Genomic DNA, 25,832 nt, shown 5'->3' with positions numbered 1-25,832 from the left:
TCTTAAACATGTTGTGATATAGCTAATGTTAAAACTGACACAGCTTCACTTTCCTCTTTTTCTCTGTACTGAAAGTTGCAGAAATACAGCTTTAATTCCAAAACAATTTGGTTTAAGCCCTCAAAATAAAAAGTGTGCATCCACTTCCACTGCCCTGACTTTCCCCACATTGTTGATTGTGATTCTCTGGCAAGTTGGTAGATCAGGCAGGCTGTATATCATTTGTACAAAACATCTCTAGCCAGGGTAAGGCTTTAGAAACTATTTTAAAAAGAAACTTGCCAAAATACTTTTGATATTTAGTACAAATACTAAATATTATAATTTTCTCCCAGCACATCTGTTTAAGCAGCCCAGTTACCTAAATGACCCTGTTAAAAGTCTGCTTATGGAACAAATACGTGAAGTAATTTCCTGAGCCAAAAGGTACAGATAACAAATGTTAATAATAGCAGCAGACTAAAAACATTCCGTTTTGTTGTTTGTTTTCCGTAGTCAACAGTCTTAGCAAAAGAACTTTAGAAAATGGCAGATTTTTTTTTTAATTTACTGCTTGAAAAGAGTTTAATAAAGAACATCCAAGGCCTGATTGCTATTATTCTCAATATAACTTTCAATAACTTTCTGCAAGTTACATTTGGCTACTGTCAGACAACTTACTGATACATGGAAAAATGTCCAAAAAAACTGCAGTGGTTTACATACATTTTACATTACATATATTACTTCTTAAAACCCCCAACAGAATGAAGTCTTAGCAAACACAAATTTTAATTTCTGAACACCCTTCCAGTAAGATTTGTAAAGGTGGGGGGAAGGGGAGGAAGGACTTGTTTTTTGTATTCCTAGTCTACTTGATTAAAATGTAATCTTCAAAGGGTTTGTTTAGCTCACTATCCAGGCCGCTAGGGTTATGATGAACATTATTACTTCTTTCCAAGGTAAAAAATGATATCTGAAAATAACATAAATGCTATGACATGATTTTCCCAAGCATGACCTCAACTTGAAACATTAGAATTCTTAAGAATTCTAAAGATTGGTATACCACCACTGCACCAGAATTTTTAATTATTCCAACAACTACAGGAATTTTTTATATAGTTTTTTAATTTTATGAAATTAAAGCTGAAGAAAATAACTGATTTAGAAGCCATAATAAAAGGACAAATATTTAGCCAGAGATATCAGTTCCTCCTGAAAAGGATATTTACCTCCTCTCATTGCAGTTTTTCTCAAGGTATCTTACTGATTTCAGATATAATTTAAAATTCGCCTTAAAAATAGAAACAAAAGGACCAGCTAAAATGACATTAACTGATAAAAATATGCTCAAATTTACTGACAGAATCATGGGCACTTCATACAATACTTAGACTCTACCAGTTTTAAGTAAAATAAATAAGGAAAAAATTATAATTACATAGCCAGTCTTTCCCCTTGTGGAAACAAAAAGCCACTTTTGACCAATTGCTCCCTACATATACATATACTGTATATTATTATAAGCTTCTTCAGAGAAGCAAAGCATCTTTGTCTTCCCGACACTGGATTATCTAGCATGTTAGTTTTTACATCAGGAAGGCAACTGCAAGTGTTGGGCCCAAAAGTATTTCTGGTTTACTCTTGAAAAGACCACTGAATATGCTTCTATACATACTGAACCAGGCAAATTTATGCAGTGCGTTCAACATCATCTCCTTATCAATACAGCCCAGATTCCGATTCTTTCTACTGCACCCCTAAGGAATTCAAAGCATTATTGGTGCAATTAGCAAAGAGGAAATGCCTGTCAATGACTGGAAGGCTGTTTTACAAGAGGAGCTGGTATGGATTTCACCTCCTTGTTGTATGGAACTGTACAGACAGCATGATACCTGAGCAAATAAATCAACTACCATGATCAGAAGGGCTTGTCAATCCATCGTTTTTGCTTTATCGTGTGCAAAGCCTGCTACTGCCCCCTGAGCTTCCTGCATTTCTCTTTTCTTGAAAAATCAGTGCTTGATCCTTTCCAAAATAACCAGAAAAGAAATGAGGCAGAAAGTATCTCTTCATCGCGGTTCCCCCTCAGTCCCGAGACTGATAGAAAAGGATGTAACCAGACTCAGAGTTCTTTGAGTATCTGATGTCAACCCGTAGAATTCTTCAATAGCTTGTGTATCTATTTTTTCTACAATGTCGTCATCAAACAACAACCAAAAATCATGACTCTTAACTATCGCAATATAATGGCCTCGATTGGGACCACTTCCACAGTGAACCACAACAGCAACAAGGTCGTACATTCTGTCTGGATTGGTGGCATCACCTGAAGTGTTAAATAGACGAAGTTCTAAAGGAAAAACCACCCGGTAAGAGAGTTTTGTATATCGATGAAGTTGATCCATATATTTAAATCTCTTCAAGTGTACAGCTAGAATCATGGGCAGTTTTTAAACTTTCATCCGTTTGTGTGCTTCCTGTTTGCTGCGACACTCTTCACAGTAATACTTGTATTAACTGCATAGAGTTTCTGTGTTGCTGAAACCCCTTAAGCAGTGAGTAATTGATGTATTTTGTTCCACGTCAACAGAAAGGTCTAAAAAATCTCCATCTTTGCTGCTTATAGTTTCACAAGTAAGACGTCTGGTTTCATTAGTTAACGTTCCCCGAAAAATCTCATGAACCCACGTTGGGTCTGGTGTGCTGCTATTATTTTCATTATCAATATTATCATTAGGTTAGCGACCATTTTGTTTTTCCTGCTTTCTCTCTTCTTGTAAAATATCACCAATTGTATTTAGTAGGTAATTTAAGAATTCATGGGCATCTTGTTGCATGTAGTTGTCGAAAAGCTCATTTTCTTTCTGTAATCTTGTGATGAACTTCTTCGGAGGTATTACTCCAACCTTTTTCTTCTGAGTGGCTATGCTGTGGAAGAGATCTGCTAAGCATGTAAGAAAGCTCTCCTTTTTCCTAGGTTGACTCTTATATGCAAGAACTTTTTCCCGAAACGGACGACAAAAATAAAGTGCTTGAAGAACTGAATTGCAGTAGCAGGTATTCCCAAAATTGACTAATCCAAAATAATGCTCGTTGACCGGAAACTGTTCTGGACCAATCTATTTCTCTAATGCCGAAGCATTGGCGCCCATGGTACAGATGGAGGCGAATTTGGAGACTGTCATTAGGATTTCCATCTGGCCAGCGCCATCTTCCACCCAATCATAGTGGCGGAGCCGGGCGGGGGAGGACGGGAGCCGGGCCCCCCGCTTGCACCGTAGCCCGCGGGTGGACCCCGAGCCGCCGCCGACCCACGCACCGAGCCCACTAGGCCTCCACTGCCGTCATCGCCGCCGGCTCCTCAGGTACTCCCGGCCCTAGTCCCCGTCAGCCGGCCGCTTTTTTTTTTTTTTTTTTTTGAGTTTTTTTTTTTTTTTTTTTTTTGAGTTTCCTCTCTGTCGCCCAGGCTGGAGTGCAATGGCGCGATCTCGGCTCACTGCAACCTCTGCCTCCCGGGTTCAAGCGATTCTACTGCCTCAGCCTCCTGAATAGCTGGGAATACAGGCGCGTGCCACAATGCCCAGCTAAATTTTGTATTTTTAGTAGAGATGGGGTTTCACCATGTTGGTCAGGCTGGTCTCGAACTCCTGACCTCGTGATCCGCCCTCCCCAAGTGCTGAAATTACAGGCGTGAGCCACTGCGCACGGCCCCGCCCTGTAGTATATTTTGCAGTTGGGTACCGTGATGCTTTCATTTCTGTTCTTTTTGCTTAGGATTGCCTTAGCTACTCAGGCTCTTTTTTGTTTCCATATGAATTTTATAATAGTTTTATCTAGTTCTTTGAAGAATATTATTGGTAGTTTGATAGGAATAGCATTGAATCTGTAAATTGTTTTAGGCAGTATGACCATTTTAGTGATACTGATTTTTCCTGTTCATGAGCATGGAATGGTTTTTCATTTATTTGTGTGATGTCTGATTTCTTTCTGCATTGTTTTGTAATTCTCACCATAGAGCTCTTTGACCTAACTGGCTAGCTGTATCATTTTTTTGTGGCAGTTGTAAATGCAATTGCATTCCTGATTTGGCTCTCAGCTTGGCTGTTGGTGAATAGGAATGCTAATGATTTTTGTGCATTGATTTTGTATTCTGAAACTTTGCTAAAGTTGTTTATCAGGTTAAGAAGCTTTGTGGCCATGACTATGGGGTTTTCTAGATATAGAATCATTTCTTCTGCAAACAGGGTAGTTTGACTTTCTCTCTTCCTATTTGTATGCCATTTATTTATTTCTCTTACATTATTTCTCTGGCCAGGACTTCCAATACTATGATGAACAGGTGTGGTGGGACAGGGCATCCTCATCTTGTGCCAGTTTTCAAGGGGAATACATTCAGCTTTTGACTGTTTAGTATGATTTTGTCTGTGGATTTATGATAGACGGCTCTTATTATTTTTAAGTTGTTCATTACTGGGTAACATATAGGAAAATAAATATAGTAAAATAAAAGGAATAGAAGTTGTTCTACCACAAAGACACATGTATGCATATGTTCATTGTAGCACTATTCGCAATAGCAAAGACATGGAATCAACGTAAATGCCCATCAATGACAGACTGAATAAATAAAATGTGGTACATATATACCATGGAATACTATGCAGCCAGAAAAAAGAATATTATATCCCTTCTGGGAACATGGGTGGAACTGGAGGCTATTATTCTAGCAAACTAATACAGGAACAGAAAACCAAATACTGCATGTTCTCACTTATAAGTGGAAGCTAAATAATGAGAACACATGGCAACAAAAAGGGGAACAAAAGATACTTAGGCCTACTTGAGGGTGGAGGGTGGAAGGAGAAGGAGAATCAGAAAAAATAACTATTGGGCACTATGCTTAGTACCTGGGTGACAAAATTTGCACAAGCCCCTACAACATGAGTTTGTCAATATAAAAATCCTGCACATGTACCCCTAAACCTAAAATAAAACTTGTTTAAAGACAATTTTACTTTAGCCGGCCTGGCGCGGTGGCTCACACCTGTAATCTCAGCACTTTGTGAGGCCGAGGTAAATGGATCATGAGGTCAGGAGTTCGAGACCAGCCTGACCAACATGGTGAAATCCCGTCTCTACTAAAAATACAAAAATTAGCCTGGTGTGGTGGCATGTGCCTGTAATTGCAGCTACTCAGGAGTCTGGGCAGGAAAATCGCTTGAACCCAGGAGGGGGGGGTTGCAGTGAGCAGAGATCACGCCATTGCACTCCAGCCTGGGTGACAGAGCGAGACTTCATCTCAAAAAAAAAAAAAAAAAAGTCTTACTTTAAGTTCTGGAATACATGTGCAGAATGTGCAGGTTTCTTACATAGATATACATGTGCCATGGTAATTTGCTGCATCTATCAACCCATCATCTAGGTTTTAAGCACTGCATGCATTAGGTATTTGTCCTAATACTCTACCTCCCCTTGCTTCCTACCCCTGACAGGCCCCAGTGTGTGATGTTCCCCTCCCTGTACCCATGTGTTCTCATTGTTCAACTCCCAGTTATGAGTGAGAACATGAAGTGTTTTGTTTTCTGTTCCTGTATTAGTTTGCTGAGAATGATGGCTTCCAGCTTCATTCATGTCCCTGCAAAGAACATGAACTCATTCTTTTTTATGGCTGCATAGTATTCCATGGTATATATGTGGTGCATTTTCTTTAGTCTATCATGGATGGGCATTTGGGTTGGTTCCAAGTCATTGCTATTGTGAACAGTGCCACAGTAAAAATACATGTACATGTGTCTTTATAGTAGAATGATTTATAATCCTTTGGGTATATACCCCATAATGGGATTGCTGGGTCAAATGGTATTTCTGGTTCTAGATCCTTGAGGAATTGCCACACTGTCTTCCACAATGGTTGAAATAATTTACACTCCCACCAACAGTGTAAAAGCGTTCCTATTTCTCCACGGCATCACTGGCATCTGTGGTTTCCTGACTTTTTAATAATTGCCATACTAACTGGTGTGAGATGGTATCTTACTGGTTTTGCTTTGCATTTCTTTAATGACCAGTGATGATGAGCTTTTTTTCATATGTTTGTTGGCCGCATAAATGTCTTCTTTTGAGAAGTGTCTGTTGATATGTTCATATTCTTTTCCCACTTTTTGATGTGGTTTTTTTTTCTTGTAAATTTAAGTTTCTTGTAGATTCTGGATATTAGCCCTTTGTCGGATGGATTACAAAAATTTTCTCCCATTCTGTAGGTTTCTTGTTCACTCTGATGATAGTTTCTTTTGCTGTGCAGAAGCTCTTTAGTTAAATTAGATCCCATTTGTCAATTTTGACTTTTGTTGCAATTGCTTTTGGTGTTTTAATCATGAAGTCTTTGCCCATGCCTACATCCTGAATAGAAAAAAAACTACTTTAAATTTCACATGGAACCAAAAAGGGGCCTGTATAGCCAAGACAATTGTAAGCAAAAACAACAAAGCTGGAGGCATCATGCTACCTGACTTCAAACTATACTACAAGGCTACAGTAACCAAAACAGCATGGTACTAGTACCAAAACAGATATATGGACCAATGGAACAGAACAGATACCTCAGATATAACACCACACATGTACAACCATCTGATCTTTGACAAACCTGACAAAAATGAGCAACAGGGAAAGGATTCCCTATTTAATAAATGGTGCTGGGAAAACTGGCTAGCCATATGCAGAAAACAGAAACTGGACTCCTTCCTTACACCTCATACAAAAATTAACTCAAGACGAATTAAAGTCTTAAATATAAAACCATAAAACCCTAGAAGAAAACCTAGGCAACTTTTTTTTTAAAATAAAAGAAATAAAACCTGTATTTGAACAGTATTAAGGCATTTTACAGTGCTTATTCTGTGTTGTATCAGCACCATTTTAACACGCTATGTACAATATAAGTAGTAGGTAAATTCAGCCTTCAATCTACTGGTGCATCACCATTGTTTACATTAAATGACAACAATGTAAAATCATAATTTTTACCTTTTTTCAGAAGCAGAAGCAAATGTAGGAAAGATGATTTCTAATATAAGAGAATTATGCATAATTTTGGTATTTGGCTTTCTTGCCTTTATAGGATTACCACTTTACAATAAATGAGAAAGAAAGGTGCAAAGTCATTTTCCTAAAAAAGAGCATGTAGAGTCTTAAAAATGTTATAGAACCAGTCCATCGTCAACAGCTATTTCGAAGCACAAGACTAATAATTGTCTGTATGTATATACCATTGCCAATGGCTAAATTACAAAGGGAAACTTGTAGAATGCCTGCTTCTTAAAATGTCTTTATCATGCACATTTTCAAAGGAGAAGGCATATTTACTATAACAATTGAATTTCTTTGAGTCTGTGTAAAGGAGATGTTTGCACTCTCAGAATAATATAGATTTCTTTAAAAGCTTTTCCCAAGGGAAAATTTATACTTTCATTTATAGTTTCTATGTAATTTTCCCATATAGTATGCAATTTGGTTTTATATGCAAAACAGAGCTGTGTCTTCAAATTTACATAGTCACATAAGATAATATAGGTATAAATCAACATTTATAAATCTAATAATCACATAATAAAGAAATAAAGTAATGTAATACCATTTATACATATATAGACAGAGAGATAAAGGCAGCAGTAGAGATAGGAAGAGAGATAGAGAGAGAAAGACGGAAACAGAGAGAGAGATTTATTATGGGAATTGGTTCATGAAATTATGGAGACTGAGAAGTCCCACCATTTTTCATGTGCAAGCTGGAGAATCATGAAAGCCAGTGATATAATTTTGTATACTTCTAAAGGCCTGAAAACTGCGGGATCCACTGGTGTAAGTCCTGGAGACCACAGGCCTGAGAACCAAGAGCGTCAATATCTGAGAGCAGAAGACGAATGTTCCAGTTCAAGAAGAGAGATAATTTGCCCTCCTTCTGCCTTTTTGCTATATTTGGGCTCTCAGTAGATTGGCTGACACCTGACAGATTGTTAGAAGTGGTTTGTCTTTACTCAGTCTATTGATTCAAATGCCAGCATCTTCCAGAAACACTCTCACAGACATACTCAGAAATTATGTTTTTCCAGCTCTCAGGGCATCGCTTAGCCCAGTTAAGTTGATGCCTAAAGTTAACTATTACAACAGCCTTTGGAGTCTGACTACTGCCACGTGCATTTGAAATTCAGGCATTTTATTGTTTGTATCACTATTTTTTTTTTTTTTGCCAAATTGTATTCAATTATGTAGATATACAAATGTTTATTTGTGTATACAGTTGAAGAACATTTTACTTGTATTCAGTTTTGGTTGATTACAAGGAAAGGATACTATAAACATTGACGTATAGGTTTATATATGAATATATTTTTTATTTCACTTGGGTAAAAACCTAGGAGTGTAGTTTCTAGAAATGACGAGTATTTGCTGCACTTTATTTTTTAAAAAATGGCCAAAATGTTTTCCATATTAGATGCACACTTCCTCATTCCTACCAGTAATATATGAGTGTTCCAGTTACTCAGCATACTCAGATTTAAAAAAAAAAAACCCATTTTCATTTTAAAATGCATTTCCAGAATGCCTAATAATGTTAAGAATTTTATATTGCACTTACCTGTCAATTATATTTCCTCAGTGGTGAAGTTTTTAAATCTTTCATCTATTTTATTGGAGTATTTTGTTGTTGTTGTTGTTATTGAGTTTTTCAAGAGTTATTTTTGTGTTCCTCATAGAAAGCCATTATTAATTACAGAATTTATAAATATTTCCCCCCAAAAAACTGCCTTTTTTATCCTCTTCACATGTCTTTGAAAGAGTGGATATTTTGAGCTTACAACTGGGAAGGACCAAGGTGGCCAACTAGAAGCAGCAATGATCAGAGGCTCCCATCGAAAAGATCCCAAACAGCATGGAATCCTGCATTGGAAACTAAGGTATCTAGATTTTGTCATTAGCACTGACTAGGCTTCTGGCATTACCCAGAGAGAGGAAGGAAGAGCAGTGGAAGGAAGCCTCCCACCTAAGGGCCACACAGGGCAGGGGAGCCCCCACCCTCAGCCAAGGGAGGCAGTGAGTGAGCGTGCTATCCAGCCTGGGAAACCGTGCTTTCTCCACAGAACTGTGCAACACATGGATCAGAGGATCCCACTCGTGAGCCCATGCCACCAGGGCTTGGCTCCCAACCATAGAGGTGTGCAAATTCACAACAGCCACTTGTTCTAGAATCTGCCTAAGCCTGCCAAGTTCCAGGGGAAGGGGCGGCCATCACCACTGCTGCAGCTGCCTGCTTTCTAAGCCAGCTGAGCTCTTTGGGGGAAGGGTGGCAGCAACACTTCCACTGCAGGGACTCCCTGCAAGAACTCCAACAGCTCCAGCTAGGGGCTCAGGAACAAAACTCTGATCTCCCTGGGACTGAGCCCCTAAGGGGATGGTTGGTCTTAGTCTCCACAGACCAGGAGACTTAGTCTTTCCTCCTACTAGCTCTGAGGAATCTGGGAAGCCCTGATGAGTGAGTTTCCCTCCAGTGCAGCACACCCCCTCTACCAAGGGACAGCCAAAGTGCTTTGTTAAATGAATCCTGCTTCCCATGCCATCCAACTGGGTGAGACCCCCCCCACCGCCCCAACAAACAAGGGTTGTCAGACACTCTAAACAGGAGCATTCCTACTGGCATCAGGTCAGTTCCCCTCGAGGTCAGAGATCCCAGAATAAGGAGAAGGCATCCATGTTTGCTCTTCTCCAGGCTCCTTGAGTGACATCTCCAGGTGCAGGAGGGAACCAGATAAAGGGGGCCTGAAGTTAACCCCCTGGCAAACCACAGCAGCCCTACAGAAGAGGGACCTGACTATTGAAAGAAAAATAAACAAACAGAAAGCAACAACAACAGCATCAACAAAAGTCCCCACAGAAACTTCATCCAAGGGTCAACAGTCTCAAAGATTGAAACTAGACAAACTCATGAAGATGAGAAAGAATCAGCAAAACAAACAAAATGCTGAAAACCCAAAAGGCCAGAGTGCCTCTTCTCCTCCAAATAATTGCAACACCTCCCAGCAAGGGTGCAGAACTGGACGGAGAATGAGATGGATGAACTGACAGAAGTAGGCTTTAGAAAGTGGGTAATAACAAACTTTGCTGAAGTAAAGGAGGATGGTCTAACCCAATGGAAAGAAGTTAAGAAACTTGTTAAAATGTTACAGAAGCTGCTAACTAGAATAACCAGTTTAAGGAGGAACATAATGACCTGATGGAGCTGAAAAACACAGCATGAGAACTTTGTGAAGCATACACAAGTATTAATAGCTGAATCAATCAAGTGAAAAAAAAATGTCAGAAATGAAAGACTATCTTGCTGAAATAAGGCAGGCAAAAAAAATAAATAAAAAGGAACAAACAAAACCTCCAAGTAATGTGAGACTATGTAAAAAGACCAGTATCTGAAAGAGATGGAAAAAATGCAACCAAGTTGGAAAACACACTTCAGGATATTATCTAGGAGAAATTCCTGAACCTAGCAAGACAGGCCAACATTCAAATTCAGAAAATACAGAGAATTCCACCAAGATAGTTCATGAGAAGATCAATTCCAAGACAGATAATCATCAGGTTCTCCAAGGTTGAAATGAAGGAAAAAATGTTAAGGGCAGCCAGAGAGAAAGGCCAGGTCACCTACAAAGGGAAGCCCATCAGACTAACAGCAGATCTCTCAGCAGAAAACCTACAAGCCAGAAGAAAGTGGGGGCCAATATTCAACATTCTTTTTTTTTTTTTTTTGAGACAGAGTCTCGCACTCTTGCCCAGGCTGGAGTGCAGTGGCGCGATCTCAGCTCACTGCAAGCTCTGCCTCCCGAGTTCATGCCATTCTCCTGCCTCAGCCTCCTGAGTAGCTGGGACTACAGGCACCCGCCACCACGCCCGGCTAATTTTTTGTATTTTTAGTAGAGACGGGGTTTCACCGTGTTAGCCAGGATGGTCTTGATCTCCTGACCTTGTGATCCTCCCGTCTTGGCCTCCCAAAGTCAACATTCTTAATGAGAAGAATTTTCAACCCAGAATTTAATATCAGGCCAAATTAAGCTTCATAAGAGAAGGAGAAATAAAATCCTTCTCAGACAAGCAAATGCTAAGGAAATTCATCACCACAAGGCCTGCTTGCAAGAGCTCCTGAAGGAAGCACTAAATATGGAAAGGAAAAACCAGTACCAGCCACTGAGAAATTCACCAAAACATAAAAACTAATGACACTATGAAAAAACAGTATCAACTAGTGTGCAATATGACCAGCTAGCATCATAATGACAGAATCAAATTCACACATAACAATATTAACCTTAAATGTGAATGGGCTAAATGCCCCAATTAAAAGACACAGACTTGCAAACTGAATAAAGAGTCAAGACCTATCAGAGTATTGTATTCAAGAGACCCATCTCACAAGCAAAGACAGACATAGGCTCAAAATTAAGGGATGAAGGAAAATTTACTCAGAAAAATGGAAAGCAGAAAAAAGCAGGTGCTGCAATCATAGTCTCTGACAAAACAGACTTTAAACCAACAAAGATTAAAAAAAAAAAGACAAAGAAGGGCATTACATAATGATAAAGGGATCAATTAAACAGGAAGAGCTAACTATTCTAAATATACATGAACCCAATACAAAAGCACCCAGATTCATAAAACAAGTTTATAGAGACCTACAAAAAGACTTCAACTCCCACACAATAATAGTGAGACTTTAGCACACCACTGTCAATATTAGAGCAACAAGACAATATTTACAAGGATATTCAGGACTTGAACTCAGCTCTGGATCAAGTGGACCTAATAGATATATACGGAACTCTCTACCCTCAAACAAAAGAATATACATTCTTCTCAGTGCCACATGGTACTTACTCTAAAATTGACCACATAATTGGAAGTAAAACATTCCTCGGCAAATGCAAAAGAACTGAAATCATAATAGTCTCTCAGACCACAGTGCAATCAAATTAGAACTCAGGATTAAGAAACTCATGCAAAACCACACAACTTTACGGAAATTGAACAACTTGCTCCTGAATGACTCTTGGGTAAATAATGAAATTAAGGCAGAAATCAAGAAGTTATTTCAAACCAATGGGAAGAATGAAACAACATACTAGAATCTCTGGAACGCAGCTAAAACTGTGTTAAGAGGGGAAGTTATAGCACTAAATGCCCACATCGGAAAGCTAGAAAGATCTCAAATCAACACCTTAACATCACAATTAAAAGAACTAGAAAAACAAGAGCAAACAGCTCCAAAAGCTAGCAGAAGACAATAAATAACTAAGATTAGAGCAGAACTGAACGAGATAGAGAAACGAAAAACTCTTCAAAAAAAATCAATGAATCAAAGAGCTAGGTTTTTGAAAAACAAATAATAAAATAGATAGAATGCTAGCTAGACTGATAAAGAAGAAAGGAGCAAAATCAAATGGATGAAACAAAAAATGATGAAGGGGATAATATCACTGACCCCACAGAAATACAAACTACCACCAGAGTATACTATAAACACCTCTATGCAAATAAACTAGAATATCTAGAAGAAATTGATAAATTCCTCAACAAATACACCCTCCCAACACTAAACCAGGAAGACATCAAATCCCTGAAAAGAGCAATAACAGGTTCTGAAATTGAGGCAGTAATAAATAGTCTACCAACTAAAAAAAGCTAAGGAAAGACAGATTCACAGCTGAGTTTTAGCAGAGGTACAAAGAGGAGCTGCTATCATTCCTTCTGAAACTATTACAAACAATTGTAAAGGAGCTACTCTTCCCTAACTCATTTTATGAGGCCAGCATCATCCTAATACCAAAACTTGGCAGAGACATAATAGCAACAACAACAAAAAAACCTTCAGGCCAATATATCTGATGAAGATCAATGCAAAAATCCTCAGTAAAATACTGGCAAACTGAATCCAGCAGCACTTCGAAAGCTTATCCACCTTAATCAAGTTGGCTTCATCCCTGGGATGCAAAGCTGGTTCAACATGCACGAATCAATAAACGTAATTCATCACATAAATAGAACCAATGACAAAACCACATGATTATCTCAATAGATGCAGAAAAGGCCTTTGATAAAATTCAACACCGCTTCATGCTAAAAACTCTCAATAAAGTAGGTATTGATGTAACACATCTCAAAACAATGAGATCTATTCATGACAAACCCACAGCCAATATCATACTGATTAGGCAAAAGCTGGAAGCATTCCCTTTGAAAACCAGCACAAGGCAAGGATGCTCTCTCTCACCACTCCTACTCAACATATTATTGGAAGTTCTGGCCAGGGCAATCAGGCAAGAGAAAGAAATAAAGAGTATTAAAATAGGAAGAGGGGAAGTCCAATTGTCTCTGTTTGCAGATGACATGATTGTATATTTAGAAAACTCCATCGTCTCAGCCCCAAAACTTCTTAAGCTGATAAGCAACTTCAGCAAAATCTCAGGATACAAAATCAATGTGCAAAAATCACAAGCATTCCTATACACAAACAATAGACAAGCAGAGAGGCAAATCATGAATGAACTCCCATTTACAATTGTTACAAAGAGAATAAAATACCTAGGAATACAGCTAACAAGTGATGTGAATGACCTCTTCAAGAACTACAAACCACTGCTCAAGGAAATAAGAGAGGATCCAAACAGATGGAAAAACATTCCATCCTCATAGATAGCAAGAATCAATATAGTGAAAATGGCCATATTGCCCAAAGTAATTTATAGATTCAACGTTAATCCCATCAAACTACCATTGATATTTTTCACATAATTAGAAAAAAACTACTTTAAAATTCATAAGGAACCAAAAAAAGAGCCCACATAGCCAAGACAATCCTAAGCAAAAATAACAAAGCTGGAGGCATCACGTTACTTGGCTTCAAACTATACTACAAGGCTACAGTAACCAAAGCAGCATGGTACTTATACCAAAACAGACATATAGACCAATGGAAGAGAATAGAGACTTCAGAAATAAGACCACACATCTCCAACCATCTGATCTTCAACAAACCTGACAAAAACAAGCAATGGGAAGAGGATTCCCTATTTAATAAATGGTGCTGTGGAAACAGTCTAGTCACATGCAGAAAATTGAAACTGGATGCCTTCCTTACACCTTATACAAAAATTAACTCAAGATGAATTAAAGAATTGAATGTAAAACCCAAAATGATAACAACCCCAGAAGAAAACCTAGGCAATACCATCATGACATAGGCATGGGCAAAGATTTTATGATGAAATCACTAAAAGCAATTACAACAAATTGACAAATGGGATCTAATTATACCAAAGCACTTCTGCATAGCAATAGAAACTATCATCAGAGTGAACAGGCACCCTATAGAATAGAAGAAAATTTTTGCAATCTACACATCTGACAAAGGTCTAATATCCAGAATTTACAAGGAACTTAAACAAATTTACAAGACAAAAACAAATAACCCCATCAAAAAGTGGGCAAAGGATATGAATAGAAACTTCTCAGAAGAAGTTGTGCATTATGCAGCCAATAGTCGTATGAAAAAAAGCTCAATATCATTGATCATTAGAGAAATGCAAATCAAAATCACAGTGAGATACCATCTCCCACCAGTCAGACTGGTGAATATTAAAAAGTCAAGAAACAACAGATGCTGGTGAGGCTATGAAAAAATAGGAACACTTCTATGCTGTTGGTGGAAATGTAAATTAGTTCAACCATTGTGGAAGACAGTGTGGCAATTCCTCAAGTATCTAGAACTGATACATGTACATGTATGTTTATTGCAGCACTATTCACAATAGCAAAGACATGGAACCAACCCAAATGCCCATTGATTATAGACTGGATAAAGAAAATGTGGTACATATACAGCATGGAATACTATGCAGCCATAAAAAGGAATGAGATTATATCTTCTGCAGAGACATGGATGAAGCTGGAAGCCATTATCTTCAGCAAATTAACACAGGAACAGAAAACCAAACACCACATGTTTCACTCATAAGTGGGAGTTCAACAATGAGAACACATGGAAACAGGGAAGGAAACAACACATATCAGGGCCTGTCGTGGGGGATGGTGAGGAGAGGGAGATCATCAGGATGAACAGCTAATTCATGTGGGGCTTAAAACCTAGGTGATGGGTTGATAGGTGCAGTAAACCACCAAGGCAGATGTGTACCTACGTAACAAACATACCCATTCTGTACATGTATCCCAGAACTTAAAAAGTGGATATTTTTAATATTTATAAAGTCCAGCACATGAACTTTTTATTATAAATTGTGCTTTTAGTGTTGCATCTAAGAAATATTTGCCAAACCCAAAGTCAGTTTTTTCTAGAAATTTTATAAGATTATGTTTTATATATAGGTCTATAATATATCGGAGTTAGTTTTTGTAATGTGAGAATAGTATGGATATTGTTATTATTAATGTCTTTGCATAGAGATATGCAACATATGTTGAAAAGATAATTTTTTTCCAATAAAATACCTTTGTGCTATTGTAAAGCTCCATTGTCCATATTTTAGTGGGTCTACTCTGATCTTCCTCTGTTCCTCTTCCTTTCTGTTCTACTGACAAATATTTCTCTCCTTCTCCAAAATACACTATCTTTATTACAGTAACTTCATAAAGCTTTCAGAATTAGGTAACAAGAGCCTTCCAAGCTGTTGGCAAAATGGCAGTTTGAGAAACTCCAGGTCCTTTTGGCCCCCCACAGAAACATCAGGTTATAAACTGTAAACTAAAATAACTTTGTAGGAGCCCCAGAATACAGTCAATGAATTGTAACAATTAAGCAAATGCCCAATCAACAAGAAGTCACACTCGTAAAGACAAGCAAATCTGTGGCCCTGTGTCACTCCCTCCCTGGTGTGGCATCTTTGGGAGGAAGTAGCCAAATTTCTTGCATTTCTTCCTCAGAGAAATGGTTTGCAAATTTTTGCTCTGTCTGTGGCCTGCTTACAGAACCAGATTCTGTATCACCTAACTAAGAGATAAGATGAGGAAAGCAGCATAGATGTTTATATGGAGGGAATTAGAAAAAAGCACAGACACAGGCACAGGAAATATACATGCCCAGAGAAGACCTGAGAAACATAAATCCTTCACACTGGGCTTATAGTGAAGGTTTCACCTAACATAGAGTCATATTGCAAAAACTGGAAGAATGGCTGTTATTTCAAATGTCAAATTTTCAACAAAAATTGCAAAATGTAAAAAACAAGAAAAAATGGTCTATTTAAAGGACTGAAATAAATCTCTATGAATTGACCAAAATTTAGGACTTATTAGAAAAATACTTTATAACAACTGTTTATAGTAGGCTTAAATTTAAAGGACACAAAAAAGAAAGAGCATTACAAAAATCATATATAAAAGTGAATATGTCAACAGTGAGATATAAATTATAAAACAAAACAAAGCAGAAATTCTATAGCTGAGACGTAAAATAACTGAATTGAAAAGTTTAGTACAGAAGCTCAACATCAGACTCAAACCAGAAGAAGAAAGAATTAGTAAACTTGAAGGTAGAACATTGGAAGTTAGTAAATCTGAGGAGCAAAGCCAAATAAAATAATAATGAACAACGTGAACAGAGCCTAAGACATTTATGAGAGACCATCAAGCAGAACAATATGTGCATTATGGTAATCTTAAAAAAAGAAGTGAGAAAAATGGCATAGAGTATTTTTTAAATAATGATAAGAAATCCAAAATCTGATTTTAAAACATGGATATAAAAATACAAGAAGCTCCAAGTTAAAAAAAAAATCCAAAGGGACCCACTGCAAGATGCATAATAATCAAAGTTGCAAAAGCCAAATATAAAACAGAATCTTGTAAACATCTAGAGAAAAGTGACTAATCATGCACAAGGCATCTTTAATAAATTTATCAGATTATTTAGGTAAGCCTTCCAGTCTGGAAGGAGATATATCTGCAGTGTTAAAAGAAAGAAACAAACAAACCCTCTCTATCAAGTATTTAATCCAGGGCAAAGCTGTCCTTCAAAATGAGGAAGAAATTAAGACATTATCAGATAAATAAAAGCTGAGACAGTGCATTATCACGAGATCTGTGCTAAGAGAAATGCGGAAGGGAGTCTTTCACGTAGACATAAAAGGATGTATAGACAATAACTTAAAGCCCAACAAAATATAAAAATTTCTGTTAAGGATACATAAGTGAAAAACACACAAAAACTATTTTTTTTTGCATTTTGGTTTATAGCTATTTTTTATTCCTCTACAGGATTTAAAAAATTAAAAAAGAAAATTGAAACCTACATTAATAGTCAGAAAATATATTAATATGACATTTGTAAATCAATGACATGAAGAAAGAAAATTTGTGTACATGATTTAAATTAAAGTAGTATTAATTCAAAATAATTTTTCATATATGTAGGATATTATGGATAATCACCAAGGTAACCACGAAGGACATATCTATAGAATACACACAAAAGGAAATAAGAAGGGAATAAAAATGTGTCAATTAAAAAAAATCAACTAACCACAAAGGAAGGCATTAGAAAAAAGAGGAGGCACAAAATAGCTATAAGACATACAGAAAACAAATTATTTAAATGGCAATAATAAATCTTCCCTATCAATTATAAATTTAAACCATTATTTATTCAACTCTCTAACCAAAAGACAGACTGACACAATGGATTAAAAGCACTCTCAACTATATGGACACTTTAATATACTCATTTTGTATTTAAGAACACGCGAAGGTTGAAAGAGATAAGATGAAAAAAATATTGGTGCACACAGTAATGGAAAAAGCAAAGGAGTGGTGATATCAACGCCAAGTAGAGTTTAAATTGAAAACTGTTATAAGAGACAAATGGAAACATTATATAATGATAAAGTATAAATTCACAAGAAGATATATAACAATACTATCTATATATATGCACTAAATGTCAGGGATCCTAAACATATGAGATAGAATTGAAGAGAGAAACAGAAAGCTCTGCAATAATGGTCTGGAACATTTGGAAACTGCAGTACTACAACTTTCAATGATAAATAAGAAAACCAGAAATTTTAAACGGGAAGTAAAAGACTTAACACTAATAATTATACCCAACAGATGAAAATAGATCACTCCAGGCAAAAATACTATAGCAACATACCCTTTTTTTGTTATTTTTAATTTTTAATTTCGATGGGAACATAGTAGATGTATATATTTATGGGGGTACATGAGATATTTTGATATAGGCATGCAATGGTAATACTTACATCATGGAAAATAGGGTATTCATTCCCTCAAGCATTTATCCTTTCTGTTGCAATCCACTTATGTTAGTTTTAAAATGTGCAAGTAAGTTATTGTTGATGATAGTCACCCTGTTGTGCTATCAAATATCTTATTCATTCATTCTGATTATTATCTTGTACCAATTAACCATCCCAATTTTTATCCAACTCCCACTACCCTTCCCGGACTCTGGTAACCATCTTATACTCTATGTCTTCATGAGTCCAATTGTTTTGATTGTTAGATCCCACCAATAAGTGAGAACATGTGAAGTTTGTCTTTCTGTGCCTGGATTATATCACTTGACATAATGATATCCAGTTCCATCCATGTTGTTGCAAATGACTGAATCTTATTTTCTTAATGGCTGAATAGTAATAGACTATGTATATGAACCATATTTCCTTTATATCTAAGAACATGCAATAATTGAAAGCTGATGTTGGACACTTAGGTTGCTTTGAAATCTTGGCTACTGTGACCAATGCTGCAACAAACATGAGAGTGCAGATCTCTTTGATATATTGATTTCCTCTTTGGTGGGTATGTATACCCAGCAGTGAGATTGTTGAATCATATGGCAGCTGTACTTTTATGGTTATGAGTGATCTCCAAACTGTTCTTCATATTGATTGTACTAATTTACATTTCCAACAGCAGTGTATAAGGGTTCCTTTTGCTCCATGACCTCACAAGCATTTGTTATTGCTTGTCTTTTGGATATAAGCCATTTTAACTGAGATGACATGATATCTCATGGCAGTTTTCATTTGCATTTCTCTGATGATCAATGATGTTGAGTGCCTTTTATATGCCTGTTTGTCATTTGTATGTCTTCTTTAGAGAAATGTCTATTCAAATATTTTGCTCATTTTTAATTATTAGATTTTTTTTCTATAGAGTTGTTTGAGCTCCTTATCTATTCTGGTTATAAATCCCTTGTCAGCTGGGTAGTTTGAAAATATTTTCTCCCATTCCGTGGGAGAAAATGTTCATTAAAGCTCTGAAATGACCTCCTTTGACTCCATGTCTCACATCCAGGTCATTCTGATGCAAGAGATGGGTTTTCATGGTTTTAAGCAGCTCTGTCCCTGTGAATTTTTTTTTTTTTTTTGAGATGGAGTCTCACTCTGTTGCCCAGGCTGGAGTGCAATGGTGCAATCTCGGCTCACTGCAACCTCCGCCTCTCAGGTTCAAGCGATTCTCCTGCCTTATCCTCCCAAGTAGCTGGGACTACAGGTGCCCACCACCACACCTGGCTAATTTTTGTATTTTTAGTAGAGGTGGAGTTTCACCATATTGACCAGGCTGGTCTCGAACTCCTGACCTTGTGATCTGCCCGCCTCAGCCTCCCAAAGTGCTGGGATTACAGGCATGAGCCACCATGCCTGGCCTGTCCCTGTGGATTTTTTAGGGTACAGCCCCCCTCTTGGCTGCTTTCATGGGCTGAAGTTGAGTGTCCACAGCTTTTCTGGGTACACTATGCAAGCTTTTGGTGGATCTACCATTCTAGGGTCTTGAGGATGGTGGCCTTCTTCTCACAGCTCCCCAGTGGGGACTCTGTATCAGGGCTCCAACCCTACATTTCTCTTCTGCACTGCCCTAGCAAAGGTTTTCCATGAGGGCTCCACTCCTGCAGCAAATTTCTTCCTGGACATCCACTGAAATCTAGGTGGCAGTTCCCAAAGCTCAATTCTTGACTTCTTGTGCACCTGCAGGCCCACCACCAAGTGGAAGCCACCAAGGCTTTGTGCTTGTACCCTCTGTAGCAATGGACTGAGCTGTACATTGACCTCTTTTATCCATGGCTGATGGCTGAGATTGCAGGGCACCAAGTCGTGAAACTGCACAAAGTAGCAAGGCCCTGGGTCCAGCACATAAAACTATTTTTTTTAAATCTCTGGGTCTGTGATGGGAGGGACTTCTGTGAAGACTTCTGACATGCCCTGAAGAAATTTTCCCCATTGTCTTGGTGACTAACTTTTGGCTTCTCATTAATTATGAAAATTTTAGCAGCTGGCTTGAATTTAGCCTTCAAAAAATAAGATTTTCTTTTCTTTCACATTATCAGACTGCAAATTTTCAAACTTTTATGCTCTGCTTCACTTTTAAACATAAGTTCCAATTCTAAACCATCTCTTTGTGAATGCATATAACTGAATGCTTTTAAGAACACCCAAGTCATATCGTAAATGCTTTGCTGCTTAGAAATTTCTTCTGCAAGACACCCTATATCATCTTTCTCAAGTTCAAAGTTCCACAGATCTCTAGGGCAGGGGCGAAATGCCACCAGTCTCTTTGTAAAAGCACAGCAAGAGTCACCTTTATTCCAGTCCCCAATAAGTCCCTCATCTCTATCTGAGACCACCTCAGCCAGGACTTCATTGTACATATCACTATTAGTATTTTAGTCAAAGCCACTCAACAAGTCTCTGGCAAGTTCCAAACTTTTCCACATTTTTCAGTCTTTTTCTGAGGTGTCCAAACTGTTCCAACCCCTGCCTATTACTCAGTTCCAAAGTTGGTTCCACATGTTCAGGTATGTTTATAGCAGCACCCCATTCTCTCTGGTACCGATGTACTGTATTAGTTCATTTTCATACTGCTATAAAGAACTTCCAAATGCTGGGTAATTTATAAAGGAAAGAAGTTTAATTTACTTACAGTTTAGCATGGCTGGGAAGACCTCAGGAAACTTACAATAATGGCAGAAGTTAAAGGGGAAGCAAAGCACCTTCTTCACAAGGCAGCAGGAAGAAGAAGTGCCAAGCAAAGGGGGAAGAGTCTCTTATAAAACCATCAAATATCATGTGAACTCACTCACTGTCATGAGAACAGAATGGGAGAACCCCCTCTTTCCCCATGGTTTATCTACCTCCACCTAGTCTCTCCCTCAACTCATGGGAATTATGGGAATTGCAATTCAAGATAAGCTTTGGCTGGGGATACAAAGCCTAAGTATATTACCCTCCCTGCATATTAATAAATTTGTATGACATTTATTTAACTTTCATCAGCTGATATTCAACAAACTTTCAGAGGTAAAATGTGAAATTATTTCTTTGTCTCTACAATTTCTTAGTAATACTTATTTAAAATGTTGTTTCTGATTACTTCTTATTTATGTTGTACCTGAGCCTTTGTCTCTTCATTGATTCTGACAAAAGTGTGTTCTTTGCTTTATTTAAAGTCTTACAATTTTTGTTAAAATCTGTGTATCTTATTTAGGATAATAGAAGCTGCAGTAAACAATATTTATGTAAAATGGACACTTTTTGTCTTCAACTAAGCCTTCCTGGGTTTGAGTCCATCTACTTAAGAATTGAGCTCTGGGTTTTTGGTTTTGGTTACTGATATGTTTACTGTCACTGCATCAGAAGCTTTAAATTCCTCTAATGTTTATTTGTTTTAGGTTAAGCTACTCAGGAGGTTGAGGCAGGAGAATTGCTTGAAGTGGGAGGCAGAGGTTGCGGTGAGCCAAGATCTCGCCATTGCACTCCAGCCTGGGCAACAAGAGCGAAACTCTGTCTCATTAAAAAAAAAAAAAAGAATATGTATGTTTTCCAGAGGATATTATTCAATGTCTGTTCTCCCCGTAGTTACAAGTATTTCCTTTGCAACTACACCTCAGAGAATGCCTCTCTTCCCATGCAGTAGATTCCCCAAACCTTCCAAAGCAGCAAATTGTTGGAATTTTTTTTTTTTTTTTTTTTTTTTTTACGTAATACTGTTAGCCTTGAAGTGTGAACCAAAATGACATCAAGTGTTTGACTGAAGGACTGGGAACAAGTTGAAAATTCTGAGAAAGCTTCCTTCATGTTGCAAAGCTGCTTGAAAGAAAGAGTAATTGTTGCATAAAAGGTACGGAATTCTTACTATTGTCATTCTGCCTCAGTATTAGGCAGCCTTGTGTCCTTGAATCTCATGGTTTGAGCCTCCGTAGTGATTCTACAGAAGACCTCTAACGGTCAGGGTCTGAGTGTAACTCTGTTTCTCCTCCACAAGTAGAGAAGTTTTGTTGTTGTTGCTTTCCACAAGCTACAATGAGTCTTCAGCTGTGTTCTAACAAAAAAAATTATGCGTTCTTTTTTGCCCAATAGTTTAAGACTTTTGTTTCATAATGGATATTGTGGTGAAGGACCTAGGTGGAACTAAGTAACTTTTATGCAACTGTCGACAAAGATTTAAACTCTGTAAAATATTTGAAGAGATTTATTCTGAGCCAGCTATGAGTGACCTTGGCCCATGGCATAGCCTTCAGGAGAGTCTGAGAACATGTGCCTAAGGTGGTCAGGGCACAGCTTGGTTTTATACATTTTAGGGAGACAGGAGATTTCAGTCAAATACATTTAAGATATACATTGCTCTGGTTCAGAAAAGTGTGGCAACTTGAAACAGGGGCTTCCAGTTTATAGGTAGATTTAAAAATTTTCTGATTGGCAATTGGTTGAAAAAGTTATTAACCAATAGAAAGGGATGCGTGGGTTATGAAAAAAGGTTGTGAAGACCAAGTTTTATCCTGCAGATGAAGGCTTCAAATTTCAGAGAAAGTAGATTATAAATGTTACTTATCAGACTTAAAGTCTGTGTTGATGTTAATGCTGGAAGGCGTATGATGAGTCATGTCCAACTGCCACTTCCCATCATAGCCTGAACCAGTCTTTCAGGTTAAATTTTAGAGTTCCCTGGCCAATGAGGAAGTCCATTCAGAATGTTGGGGGACCTTATAATTTTATTTTTGTTTACATCCCTCCTTCTGGCCAAGATTTGCCAGAGGCAACATCAGTGGCCACCAAATCTTTATTTTGTCTCATAGCATTGCTGGGGTGGCATGGCTGCTTCCCATGGGTCCATCCTATTCCTTGGTAGGACTCCCTATGGCCAAGGGACTTAGTCAACAAGACTTACAGCTAATTAATTGTTCTAGGCCAGATAGGAATAGAAGTAGATAAACATTCATTACCCCTTGAAATTATTATTACTATTTTAAGTAGAAAACTAACAAACAGAAAGTAAAAAGCATGGTTACAAAATTGACTTATCTTTAACTTCTGTGTGTTGAGATACTGTAAGCTTACTTTTAATTACAGGCTTATAGCAACTAGTTATACAAAACATAAACATTATTCCAAAAAACTATATATGGTATTTAAAACTCATAACTTAGAGGCCTTTTCACAAGGTATCTTTATTCTGTCAGGAAATATTTTAATTCTATAAAAAGCAGAAAATTCTTTATGATTGGGGTGGATGCAATGACGACACATAATAGAGTAGAAGGCAAAGTCCTTTGTTTTACCAATTGTTTAGGCATCATTGTATCCATCCTTCATTTGAAGTGGCTGAGCTTGACATAATTCTGTCCCTCAAAACCGGCCTTTACAATATCACATACCCACCTCTTCTGCAACAGTTCCTGGGCCAAGAGGGAGGGAGTTTATAGTTTTAGCAGCAGGAAATTTGCAGATTGGTCCCAGTGGGATGTCAAATGAGGGAGATTCTCATTTTGGCTTTTCAGAATACCATGATTTTGGTTTCCTTGGAAGTAATAGTAGGAGACATAAAGAGCATTATTATTTTGACAATTGAGAGTATTTGTTTGTTAGAACAGAAAAAGGAATATATTTCATTACAGTACCAATGAAAAATATGAAGAAAAATTGTAACCTAGTACTCTGTAGGGGTATTCACATAACGTGCAGCATGAATCAACTGGCTATGTAGGTTTCTTTTAAGTCAGCTTTGCTGGAACTTTACCTAAATATATGTTATTTGAGTCAAAGTATTGGGAAATAACCAGTGTCTCCAATTGTTCTGTTTTAAAAGACTGTTACTAAACTTATGCAAATAACTATATGATCACAAAATCACAATCTGAATTTCAGAACTCAGAAAGAAAGGCCAATTTACTCACAAAAAACATACTTCACCGTAAATAACTGAAAAGAAAAATATTCTCTTGACCTTTAATCAGAGCAGCAGTCTTCCACATAAGACATTTTTTAACCCTGGAACTGCCACTCACATGCTAAGCAGCTCCTGTTAGATGAGAGCTACTTACCAAGTGCTCCTTACACTGTTAGAGTCAATGTTAAGGGAAAAAGGAGGCTCCCTACTATTTAGTATCTCCTCTTTTTATCTCCAGGTAGCAAGATCCTATGTAAACCATTATCATGGAACTCTTTTGGGCATTATTATTTCCATTAGCATAGGGGTAGCTTCAGTTCATATTCCATAGCAAGACAGTAAATGAACCTCAAGTAAAAATTTGCTAGTCCAGTAGTTATCATTGGGAAGTATTCACAGTCTTTTGCCATTAGCCCCGATAAATGCTCCACAAAGGGCTATGAAGCAGAGGATTTGTCCTGACTAGCACTCCAGTTTCTACCCTATATTCTGTGGGCTCAGGGAGTCTTCCTATTAATAGTTCCCAGTTAATGTGTCCAATTAAGATTTTTCAAAGGCCAGATTTACATGCCTTCAGTTTTATAGTACTAGAGAGGGAAAATATCCCCTAGTCAGAAACAATACCCATTTTCAAAGACATTTAGGTAAAGAAGACACATCTATCTTACATAAAGTCTGTTTAAACATCTCAAATTTCATAATTCTTTTAAATTGCTTTTTTTTTTTTTTTTTTTTTTTTGGTTCCAGGCCCTTTTCTTTTCTACCCCCAGACAATTTTACATTTTCTGGTGAAAAAGGAGCAGGGAGTTGAACCAAGGGACTTAGGTTCTTTAGTCAATTTTGATTTTAATTTGCCCCAGCATTACCCCATGCAATGTCAGCTTCCTGATGACAGCCTTTGCCTTGTGATTTTTTTTTTTTAATTTTCCAGTCTGGGGCAAATAGTAACAATCCAAACATATCAATCACCCTTCTGGGGCAAGTTATTTGACTCCCATTTTCCTTTTCCAATGTTTTAAGCATCTGTGAGACACATGAGGGACAGCAAATTTGATAAGGCTTCTCAAACAATTACATGATTCTGCAGGAGGGGCACCCATGTAAAAGGGGCCCCGATAGCCCCCAGATTTCTCATGATATGGGTAATAGGCATATTCGGTGAGAGAATATTCTGGTCATTATAAAACCAATCCCATGTGGCTTACACATGACACATATCAACTGCTTCATCTGGGGTGCTCCACTTAGTATTTTATAGGAAGAGCCAGGCAGTCCCCTTTTCAGGGCAAACAGACCTCACAGTGTTGTTTCTCTGGTCCATTAGGCTAGTTGTTCTCTCAGGAATAAACTCCTGTATATTTGAATCACATATATTCAGTAATTGTTCAATAGTGAGCTGTGAGTCCTGCATCAACCCAAACAAGCTCTTTTATTCTGTTGCATTTAAAATTAAGGATTTTGTCTCTAAAGTATTAAAAGTAATGGCAAAATACTGAAGTTGCTTTTGCACCAACCTGTTATTTTTAAAATCCATTGTAGTAGTAATTTCTAAACAAGCTAACAATACAAATCTACAAATGGAACAATTGATTTACATTATACTCTCT

The 25,832-nt window shown here is 37.5% G+C and overlaps 1 pseudogene; it reads right to left on the bottom strand.

The window, feature by feature from the left end:
- Nucleotides 1–800: 800 nt before the first annotated feature.
- On the bottom strand, nucleotides 801–3,355 carry USP12PX (USP12 pseudogene X-linked; annotated as a pseudogene).

This window comes from Homo sapiens, chromosome X (assembly GCF_000001405.40).
Source record: "Homo sapiens chromosome X, GRCh38.p14 Primary Assembly".
In the NCBI taxonomy this organism is placed as follows: domain Eukaryota; kingdom Metazoa; phylum Chordata; class Mammalia; order Primates; family Hominidae; genus Homo; species Homo sapiens.
This window is presented reverse-complemented; position numbering and strand designations above follow the sequence as displayed.